Raw genomic sequence first — 10,856 nt, 5'->3', positions numbered from 1 at the left:
TCCAGGACAGATCCATTGTCTTCCCACACAGTAGCTCCAGGACCACTATCCCTCACACACAACTTTTGCTCCCTGTCGACTTCTTTCTCTTCCATAAAATCTGCAGCTGATATTTACATAAAGTCTCAATATCAAGATAGTAAGATGGTCACTGCTTGCAGCTCCATTGCTTTGCTTACTCTTCGTCATTGACTTTCAAATTTTTCCACAGAAATGACCCTACAGGCTCAGAAGAGCGATAGTGTTACACCAAGGAGACTGGCCCCATTCAAAAGCACATTTCCTTCACGTCTAAATTCCTATCTTTAAAAAATCATGCAAATTGTACTTCTAATCTATAAAATGTCTATCTGCTTTGGCAGAAATTTTAAAAACATGCTTTTCTCCTCCAAATTCACCCACAGAGCTGATGTTGTAGAAAGTGTCTTCCTGGGCACAGAAACCTGGGACTGGCACTGGTGGCCTGCTCCAGACCCATGGGGTGAGGCTACACCCCACAGAGCAGCAACGCTTGTGATTCCCTCACTCAGGAACTGCTGCTGATGCTGACCGAGCCCTGCTCCCACTGGGAGAAATGGGGCCCAGAACTCAGCAAGGAGGCAGGCCCGGGGGGGCAGTCCTAGCTGAATGATCATGTGAATTTTATTGAATATAGACGGAGTTCTAAAACCCCAGAAAGAGACTTGTTTCCTAAATGGTGGAGCTCCGTGGACAAGAATGGAGACATCCTGGCCCCACAACAAGGGCAGCATCCATGCAGGACGGCAGCAGGGGTTCATGACTGAGGGGTCTGAGGCCTCTGAGGGTGTTAGGCAAGCCAGCGAGATGCTAACTATTCACTGAGCAGTCACTGTGTGCCTGGCACAGGTTAACAAGGGGAAGCTTAGGTCATAGTTCCTGGCTGGGCGAAGTGGCTCACACCTGTAGTCCCATTACTTCAGGAGGCCGAGGTAGGAGGATCACTTGAGCCCAGGAGTTCTAGACCAGCCTGAGCAACAAAGTGAGTCCTCCTCTCTAAAAAAAATTTAAAAATTAGCTGGGCATGGTGGTTTGCGCCTATAGTCCCAGCTACTTGAGAGGATGAGGTGGGGGGATGGCTTGAGCTCTGGAAGTTGAGGCTCCAGTGAGACGTAATTGTGCCACTGCATTCCAGTCTGGGAGACAGAGTGAGACCCTGCCTCAAAAACAAACACATAAACAAAAAGACGTAGCTCCTGTGGCTGGGCAACATGCACTTCTGAAAAGAGGCGTCTCCCCACCCCATGCACCTCGAGACATGAACAGCCAGAATGGGAATTCACCAGCAGGCTCAGGGGAGCTCACTCAGGTCCCAGGGGAATCAGAATGAGACCTCAGTGTCCCCTGCCCCAGCCAGTCTCCCAGCCTCAAGCAGTGGTCCCTAAAATGGATACCCACCACCAGCAGCAGCAGCAGCAGCAGCACCTGAACACTAGTTAGAAATGCAGATTCTCCGGCCCACTGCACCCTAGGGAGTAAGCAACTCAGTGGGAGCAGGCAACCTGCATTTCAGCCAGCCCTCCAGGGGATTCCAGTGCAGCTGAATTCTGAGATCTCTGGCCTCATGTGCCCACAGTACTCGGGAGACAGCCAGCAGAATGGGTAGGAACTCAGGCTTCAGAGGAAGCCGGTGGCTCGGAGGCTGGCTCTGACTTACCAGATCATGTAAGCTTGAACACATTTTCAGCCTGTCTGAGCTCTCTGTCCTCACCTGTGGAAGAGGGTGCTAAAAGGTTTGATGAAAGAAGGGGAGATGAAGTGATGTCAGCTTCCTGGCATTGAGCCCAGCCCATTGCACCTGCTCAGCACCAGCTGCTTTCTCCAGTCTCTCCGCTGACACTGTCCACCCAGCCCTCTGGCATGTTCTCCAACACCTGGTGGGCACAACTCCGGACAACGAGTCATCCAAGCAGTGCTTTCCCTGCAGAAATCACATCCTTGGGGGGACTCTGGCTATTGCAAATCCCTGGCCCCATCCCCCAAGGAAACTTGGCCTCAAGGTAGCCCCCATGGCTGCCACATAGCCTTGCCCATCAGCGCTGCAGCTCTCTTGAATATCCGACCCCACGCTCACCACTCTCCACACCACAGAAATCACAGCGAGCCTATCACATAAACACAGCATGGCCTCTGCATCCAGATTCCCAGTCAAGGCCCCTCACACCCACCCAGTCCCAGGGCTGGACTGGACCTGCGGATGTCAGCACTAGGGGCAGGAAAGAACTGACCAAAACTTGGTAATGAACCCGCCTAGCTCTGAATAACTGCATGACCTTTCCCTAGACACTTAACCTTCTCAGGCCTTTGTGAAGATCATATGATATGTTTTGAGAGTACTTTGTACCTTGTAAAACCACATACTAATCTCGATTGTTATTACAGATGATACAGTCTTTAATTCCCTTGCAGGCAACACTGTTTTCCCCAGATCATAAATTCCTAAAGAGGGCTGTGTGCTTTGTACAGTAACTAATTCAACTCCCTGTAAGTGCTTGATAGACATAATTTATAATGATGGCCACATATGTAAACCATAACATGGACCATATAATTGGTCGGCTTTTCTTTTGCAAGATGTGTATGGTACACGTATTCAAAATCACTTACATTTAATCATATAAGCATCTTTAGATATGCAAAGTATATATATTCATGCCATCTGTTAAATCCTGATTTGCTAAGCATGTGCATATAAAGACATCTGGGCTATACCAATTTCATAGATGTTTCCCCCAAATGCCCTGACAGTGGAAGCAATCCACTTCAACATTTTCAGATGCATTTTCCCCACTTAACTGGCGGCCTCCTCCCAGGGGGCAGTGAAGTCAACGCAGTGCTCACCACAGCAGGCCAGAGCTGCTCACATGGCTGTGCGCTGTGCAGCTGCCTGGGGCTGTGGCCTGCTCTTATCAGGAGCAACTGGTACCTCTCTCCCCACATAAACAATTAGGGAGAGGGAAGGAGAAAAGCCTTAAATATTTGCTTTCCTTTACAAGACCACCTACAAAATGTTGTTAAGACCCTGCAGGCAAAATAATCTGTCATGAGTCCAGCACTGGGCAAATATAAACACCTCGAGGACTCTACTGAGCAGTAGCCTGGGGTCCCACATGTTTTCACAAGTTTCCTTCTGTGGAGGAGGAAGAGTCCTGCTCTCCTCTACTCTTCATCCTCTCCTGTTCTACCCCCTCCCCCACCAACTAAAAACACACATCTTGGTGAAGTACTTCATCAAAAATAGTTTGGGTTAGAGAGGGTGCACATGAATAAGAGAGTAAGTGGTTTTTACTACAAAGTTGGAGTCCCATCTCCTTTTCATTCACTTTAGCATTCACCAGTGCTAAAGTGGTGGCCGGCATGGGCTGCAGGGAGCCGTTGGAAGTGAAGAGTCACAGAGCCTGGGCATCTCAAACTCTGAACCCAGGGCGGGTGATAAGCAGAGGCAGGAAGCAGGGTCAGAAGGGTAAGGGAGCGCGCGTCAGTCTGTGCTTAGGGTGCATTCACACCAGAGATCCCAGGACAGCTCGCTGGAAAACATTTTGAAACAGGAGTGCGTTTTACTTGCATACAGTGCTTCCCTCTGGCTCCTGGCACAGCCTGGTGCAGCGGCTGGGTGGGATCCGTGCAGCCACTGCTTGTCCCGCCCCTTCCCCATAAAATCACAGGGAGCTTTTACCAAGGAAATGCTGGAAAATTAGCACTCTTGCAATCTTGGTGCTTTTTCTAATTGCCTATTGGAATTTGCAAGTGATTATCAGGATAGAATGAAAAGAGGTTGCCTCTAGCTGACCCTTTCTAGGCCTGCCCTGCAAACTCCCCTACAGCAGAGGTGAGCATTGTGGCTTTAGTCTGTGTCTCGAGAGGATGCATATAGAAAAGAGAAGGCTCCAGCAGGCCATCTCTGAAAATAAATGCATCTGGCAGAGAAGCTGAACAAAACCCTTTGTGGCCTTCTGCCAGCAACTCCACTCTGTGCCCTGCTTCCTTAGCCCCCAGTCATTTTTTCCTCCAGCAGCCTCCCTAGCACCTGCCCTAAAAGTGGCCTTTAATGGGGGTGCTGGCACATCAGCCTGCTCCACTCAGGGATGTCACCCCTACAGGCCACCTCAGGGGCCACCACCCCCTGCCCCCCACCATCCCTGCAATACTTGACCTGTCCCTGCATCTGCAGCACCGACACAGAGCCTGCCTGGATTTGCTCAGGATACGTGGCTGTTATCCCATCTCTAGGAAATATTTGAGGAGGCCCAGGCACTGTTTCCTACTATCGTCACCTCCCCCTACACCCCAGTAAAGCAGGCAAGAAATAAGTATCATTACTCTCTTAGCTCAGTCTCTCAATCTGATAAAAACCTAAACCCAGGCTGGAGTGCAGTGGTGCAATCACGGCTTACTTCAACCTCGACTTCCCAAGCTCAAGCAATCCTCTCTCCTCAGCCTCCCAAGTAGCTATGACTACAGGCATGTGCCACCACACCTGGCTAATTTTAAAAATTTTTTTTAGTAATGGGGTCTCGCTATGTAGCCCAGGCTAGTCTTGAACTCCTGGGCTCAAGCGATCCTCCCACCTCAGCCTCCCAAAATGAGGTCACATTCTTAACACAGTGCCTGGCATATACTAAGTACTCAGTTAAGTTTTATCAAGAAAAAACATTCAATCAGACACATAAACCAAAAAGCAATTGTAGGTTTCAAAACTATCCTCTTACCACTTTACCACCTCTATGGAACATTTAGGAGTTTGGTTTGGTTTTATCCCAAAATCTAAACCCCTGTTTTTTTTTTGTTTTGTTTTGTTTGTTTTTGAGACATTGTCGCACTCTATCGCCCAGGTTGGAGTGCAGTGGCGCTATCTCGGCTCACTGCAAGCTCCGCCTCCCGGGTTCACGCCATTCTCCTACCTCAGCCTCCCAAGTAGCTGGGACTACAGGCGCCCGCCACCGCGCCTGGCTAATTTTTTGTATTTTTAGTAGAGACGAGGTTTCACCGTGTTAGCCAGGATGGTCTCGATCTCCTGACCTCGTGATCTGCCTGCCTCGGCCTCCCAAAGTGCTGGGATTACAGGCGTGAGCCACCGCGCCCGGCCCACCCCTGGTTTGTTTTTAAGTTGTCAATAAGGATTTAAACATCTGGACTGTGCTTAGAATATAGTCAGCTGCGGTTTTATCTCCCCTCCCTTCCATCTTCTCCCACAGAAGGTGAGTCCTCTGCAGTTCAGCTCCCCCACCCCACCCCCTTGCAATGCCCCAGCTGTGTTACTAAGGGGAAATGTGAAGCCTCAGCAGTCCACATGGAAGGCCAAGACAGCTGTGGGGCATTGCCGACCAGCCATCTGCACCCAGCAGGGTTGGAATCCAGTCTGGCCTGACTCTTTTCTAAATGTTGCTTCCTATGGGACAGCCTCACCCTGTTAGGCTGACTTGAGTTTGCATTCCTGAGCTCAGCCTAGGGAGTGTGTATGTGATCTCCTGTGGCAAGGAGAACTCCCCCTACTAGAAATGCAGCCATTGCTCGGGCCCACCCAGTGGATCAGCCACAGCAGGTTGCAGCAAGCTGCCTATGGGAGGACGGGGCTGGAGCAGGAAATGAGAGTTAAAAGAGTCTTTTCAGGAGTGTGATCGGGCCAAAAACAGGAAGATCAGCAACTCAGTCTTAGGCCTCTGGGGTTAAAAGCAAAACCAGAGAGAGAGAGGCAGAGAAAGTTTACTAAACAAATAAATGTCCCATAGAAAGGTTATATTGAGCCTAAGCCAACACAGCAAGGCCCTATCTTTACAAAACAATTTAAAAATTAGCTGGGTGTTGTGGCCCATGCCTGAATCTCACTATTCAAGCACAGCCTGGCTGACACAGTCCTAGCTACTTAGGAGGCTGGAAGTAGCAGGAATGCTTGAGCCCAGGGGTTTGAGGCTGCAGTGAGCTACGATGGTACCACTGTGTTCCAGCCTGGGTGACAGAGAGATCCTCTCTCGGAAAAAAAAAAAAGGTCCTACTGAATGATACTGCAGCACATGGTGCTCTCAAAGATGAGCTACTTTCTCCAGGTGTTTGTGCCCCCTCGCAATGACCTTGAGTGTCTCCTGCGCCATCATCCTTGCTGCTGGTGATACAACAGCTGCAGTGTAAGAATCCCAGCATCACCTTAGACACACCCCACCCCCAACACACACACACCGGATACAGTCAGTCGCTCAGCGCAGGGAGCAGGCTCCTGGAGAACGCTCTGTCCATGCCTCCTCAAATCCCCGCACAGCCCCTCTCACCTGGGTTCCTGCCACAATTTCCTGCCTGTCTCTCTCAGCCAGACCCTCCCCTGCCTTACAGGGCTGCCTTCCACATGGAAGAATCAGAATGATCTGATTGAGTTACTCTCATGCTTTCCACCTCTCAGTGTCTCCCAAATCAAATTAAAATCCTCAGCAAAGCACACCAGGCCTATCACAATTACACCTTCCCATCCCTCCAAGCCCAACCCTCTACCTCGGCATCCACCCAAACTCCGTTCCTGAAGGTTGTGTTCCTTGCCTTAGGTGTGCAGTCCCCTCTTCATACTCCAAGATTCAGCTCCAGCTGCCCCCACACTGCCTTTCTCAGAAGCTTTCCTTGCACCCTCCCCAGGCAGAGTCGACCCCCTTCGAGCCTCCATTGTGTCTCCTGCACACCTGAACTTCCCAAACTGGGTTGGATGCTCTCCTCGAGTTTCCTGTAGCTCCTATGCTCACAAGGATCGTGGCACTGTGGGGTAATTGCTCCAGTGCTGCCTGCTTCCTTCTTAGATTCAAACTCCTTAAAGGAAAAAGCAGGTCTTACTGAAAATTAAAGTCCCAGCTCTTGCATAATGCTGGGCACACAGCTGGAGTCCTGAAGAATTTGCTGGATAGAGGAATGAATAAACGTAGCCCTTAAGCAGTGAGTTCCTGTCTCTCTCCTTCCTTAGTAAATCAGGTCATTGGGAGCATTTATCTTTGTGTCTCTGGTGCCCGTGCAGAAGCTGGCCCTTCACAGGCAGGCAAAGGTGTGTTTCACTCACTTGTTCTGACTATTCCTGAATTTGGATAACTCGTAGTCCCATGTCTCTCTGAGATTCTAACAGGACCCAGGGACAACCTATGGGAAGACAGGGGTAGTGTGGGAGTGGGGTTTCTTGGAAGCCCACCTTGCTGGGATGAGTGACTCAGGTTCTCCCAACTTTGAAGTTCAGGGCCCAGCTGCAGGCGGCCCCCATCCCGCCCTGCGCTAGAGGGCGTGTGTTGGGTGGAGGGGGCACACATGCCAAGGAGGGGCGGTGAACATTGGGTGCTTGGGAGATGGAAGGGTCAGCACAGTGCAGACATAAAAAACCAAATGGCAGAGCCCAGGAGAGAGCATTTGGTGGCAGGTGACACTCACGAGGATCAGAGTCTCAGCCCACTTGGCTCAGGTGCTCCGACCAGCCCCTCTGCTGACCCTGGCTCCGAGCCCTGTGACCTGGCAGTGACTTTCCTCTTCTTAGAAAAAGGAGGAGGGTGGCTAATTGAAAACAAACCAACTGCTTCTCCTCTTTCCTCAGCCCTCAGGAAAAGCATGTAATCATCTCCAGGATTTAGAGATCTTTTTCTTCTAAAGTCAAGGGAAACTTGTTGTTCACTCCAGCCATCTTATTGCTCCTGAATTGTGTGGTCTGAATCCTTGTCTGCTGGAAGCTTTGGACAACACACTGATCAGAGCACTAAGTTTGGAGTCCAAGCCGTGGTTCCCTGTGCCTCAGTTCTCCCACCCAGAAAGCAGTTGATCCCTTGGTCCAAGTGGCAATGATGCCCAACAGAACTTTCTGTGGTGCTATCCAGTATGAAAACACTCGCCACATGTGACTTTGCAGGATGGCTAGTGCAACAGAGGACCTAATCTTTAATTAAATTGACTCATTAATATTTGACTAACTGGACTGCACAGCTGTAAGGTTGAACCTGCTCTGACGTTACATCCCATTCCCACAAGCACACCCTTTGTCTCTCTAATTCTCATAGCCACTTTCTCCACAGAGGGATAACTTGGATTATATAGTCTATGTGAAGCCTTTAAATATGGGACATGGGTCAGAAAGGGCAGAATGCAGTGTCAGAAAGACAGCTTTCTTTGAAAGTAAAAGACAAAACTGAAAATGATGCACTGGGGAGGAGAGCCTTCCGCCCACCCCCTCTTCCCTTTCGTAATCCTGCAGAGACCACACGGTGTTGCAAATCAAAGTCTGCTCTCTGGCCAGATGCAGATAGGAGCAAAACTTTCATCTCTTTTCTTGCTTCTACATAGTGCTCCTTTTTGAACCTAACACCCTCCCAGCCTGCCCCTTGGATCTGTTCTAATAGCAGTGATTGGAGCTGTTGTGCTAGGACAGGTGGCTCCATGAGACAGGAGCTACCACGGTGCAGTGAGGACACCTGGGAGCGCCCAGAGCTCCGGGACACATAGGCTGAGAGCTGTGCTCTGGTGCCCATCATCCCTGCAGGCACTGCCGGCTCGGTCCCACCCAGCCCACCCCAGGGCTGCACAGGGTCCCTGTCCTGGGACACTGGTTTTCTACCCTCAGGCATGTTTGCTGATTCTCCCAGACCCTGGCCAGTATTTTTCTCCCAAAAGCCTTCCTGGCATACCCAGCTGGCACTGCCCTCTCCTTTCTTGGACCCTGCTGTGCAGCAACGTTTCAGAGTCATTCTGCACCTTCAGTTCTGCACTAGAGTCATTCTCCAAATATTTCTGTGCTATCTCAGCTAGATCAGAGCCTCCCTATAAGCAGAGGTTGAGTCATCTATTTCTTTTTTATCCACTTGTGGCACCAAGCTCAGACTTTGCTCTGCACTACTTACTCACCCAGTGCTTACTGACTGATTTATTGACCCAGAACCATGGCGAGAATGCAGTCAAGCTATTACCGTGAACTTCACAATGCAGGCACGTGAGCTAAGGTGACAGGGGTTGAACCCAGATTGCTCGCTGGGGCTTTTGTTCTTGCTCTGACTCTACTACCAGCTCAGGTATCAGAACACGCTACCCTATTCCCAGGGGCCCCTGTTTGGTTCAGACCGCACAGTCCCTGCTTTGCAGGGCTTCAGGGACCACACCAAGGAAGGCCACTGTGAACATCATAAATGGCACGCTGAATGGCACTCATTGTTAGTATAAAGTGCAGGTACGTTCTGTACAGTGAGATTAGACGGGTTACTCAGAGCCAGCAGCCGGGACACACCTGTTCTTTTTCTCTGCATCAAAAATCCCTCTTTTCTCTGCACACATTTCTTCTCTCCCAATTTCCACGAGGTGGCTAAGGGCCTTCCTGGACATTTCTTAGACTTCTTAGAAACTCATCTAGAAACTCCCTGATGGGTTTCTAAAATTATAAATTCACTGGCACTCAGCAAATCTACATTTTACATAAGAGAAAGTCAGCCTAGAATAAAAACTTGCCTTTTAAAAGCCAGCTTTTCTGCCACCACTTCCATCCCTCTAGACTGCTGTCTCTTGCCATAGATTCTCCCTCTGGACCCTTCTGGATGTCTGCCTCACCATGGAGCAGCCCTTGGACCCTCAGGCTGACTGAATGACTCATACCTGGGTCAGCCCTCTTAGAGGGACTGCTCCATGCCACTGCATAAACAGAAGAAAAGGTCGGGCGTGGTGGCTCACACCTGTAATCCCAGCACTTTGGGAGGCTGAGGTGGGTGGATCACGAGGTCAGGAGTTCAAGACCAGATTGGCCAACATGGTGAAACCTCATCTCTACTAAAAATACAAAAATCAGCCAGGTGTAGTGGCATGTGCCTATAATCTCAGCTACTCAGGAGGCTGAGGCAGGAGAATCGCTTGAACCTGGGAGGCAGAGGTTGCAGTGAGCTGACATCGTACCATTGCACTCTAGCCCAGGGGACATAATGAGACTCTGTCCCACACCCCACCCCACCCCCCAAAAAAACCCAAAAAGCAAAAAACAAACAAACAAACAAACAAAAAACAGAAGAAAACACCACAGTGGAAAGGCCTGTGAAAGGAAAATAAAATCTCGGGACTCCAAACTCACTATGCCAAAGGGAAAAGTTAAGCTTGGAAACTGAGTCATGCAAAAACTCCCTTCCTTTTGTTCCAAGACAGCTGTAATTTCGCAGGCTGACTTTCTCTTATGTAAAATGTAGATTTGCTGAGTGCCAGACTAATGCTTAATTGACTCCTCCGCTTTCTTTTCAGGTGTAAAATGTAGATTCACAGAGCCTCACAAGAATTGTAACCACTTGTCTCATTGCCTACCCTCCCTCCTTTTATTTTTCCTTTTTCTTCCCCTCCTGATTGCTCTTTCCCCTTTAAACACTGAGGTTCCCAAAACTCTATCTGGAAAAAGCATAGGATACAGATTCTACTGTGATTTATGTTTCTTTTTCTCTGGTGCCTCCTCAACCTTGGCAAAATAAGCCTCGAAATCAATTGAGATCTGTCTCAGTCACTGTGGTTTACAGACCCAACTCCTGCACTTAGGTAGTCAGGAGAGCCGACAGCACAGATTAGGGGCCTCCTTAGCTGATTTCGGTGACCACACCCATACCAATTCTCTGACTCCAACACAGCCTGGTTCGCAAGACTTCATTATCCTGTTGCAGACTTCTCAGCCACAATTGACACAGGCCAATGGGGCCTAAAGTTCTCCTTAGTTTTTCTGAAAGTATTAAGAAAGTTTGTGTAGAAAGGTAATGCACACAATTTCTGCATTTCTGCCCTGCAGTAAGGCTCAGAGCTTATGATGTTTAATTGTATGTGTCAACTTGACTGGGATAAGGGATGTCCAAAGAGCTGGTGAAACATTATTTCTAGGTGTG

General features: G+C 49.5%; 2 annotated features.

Annotated features, from left to right (window-relative positions):
- Positions 1,389 to 2,057: an enhancer, noted in NCBI's record as "H3K4me1 hESC enhancer chr1:229003867-229004535 (GRCh37/hg19 assembly coordinates)". NCBI's record gives its function as "activates a minimal SCP1, AML or CMV promoter by ChIP-STARR-seq in naive H9 embryonic stem cells {active_cell/tissue: H9 hESC(naive)}" and the evidence as "EXISTENCE:reporter gene assay evidence [ECO:0000049][PMID:30033119]".
- Positions 3,399 to 4,069: an enhancer, noted in NCBI's record as "H3K4me1 hESC enhancer chr1:229001855-229002525 (GRCh37/hg19 assembly coordinates)". NCBI's record gives its function as "activates a minimal SCP1, AML or CMV promoter by ChIP-STARR-seq in naive H9 embryonic stem cells {active_cell/tissue: H9 hESC(naive)}" and the evidence as "EXISTENCE:reporter gene assay evidence [ECO:0000049][PMID:30033119]".

The sequence above is a fragment of the Homo sapiens genome, chromosome 1 (assembly GCF_000001405.40).
Source record: "Homo sapiens chromosome 1, GRCh38.p14 Primary Assembly".
Classification (NCBI taxonomy): Eukaryota; Metazoa; Chordata; class Mammalia; order Primates; family Hominidae; genus Homo; species Homo sapiens.
Note: the sequence above shows the minus strand (reverse complement) of the source record. Positions and strands in the feature narration are given on the sequence as shown.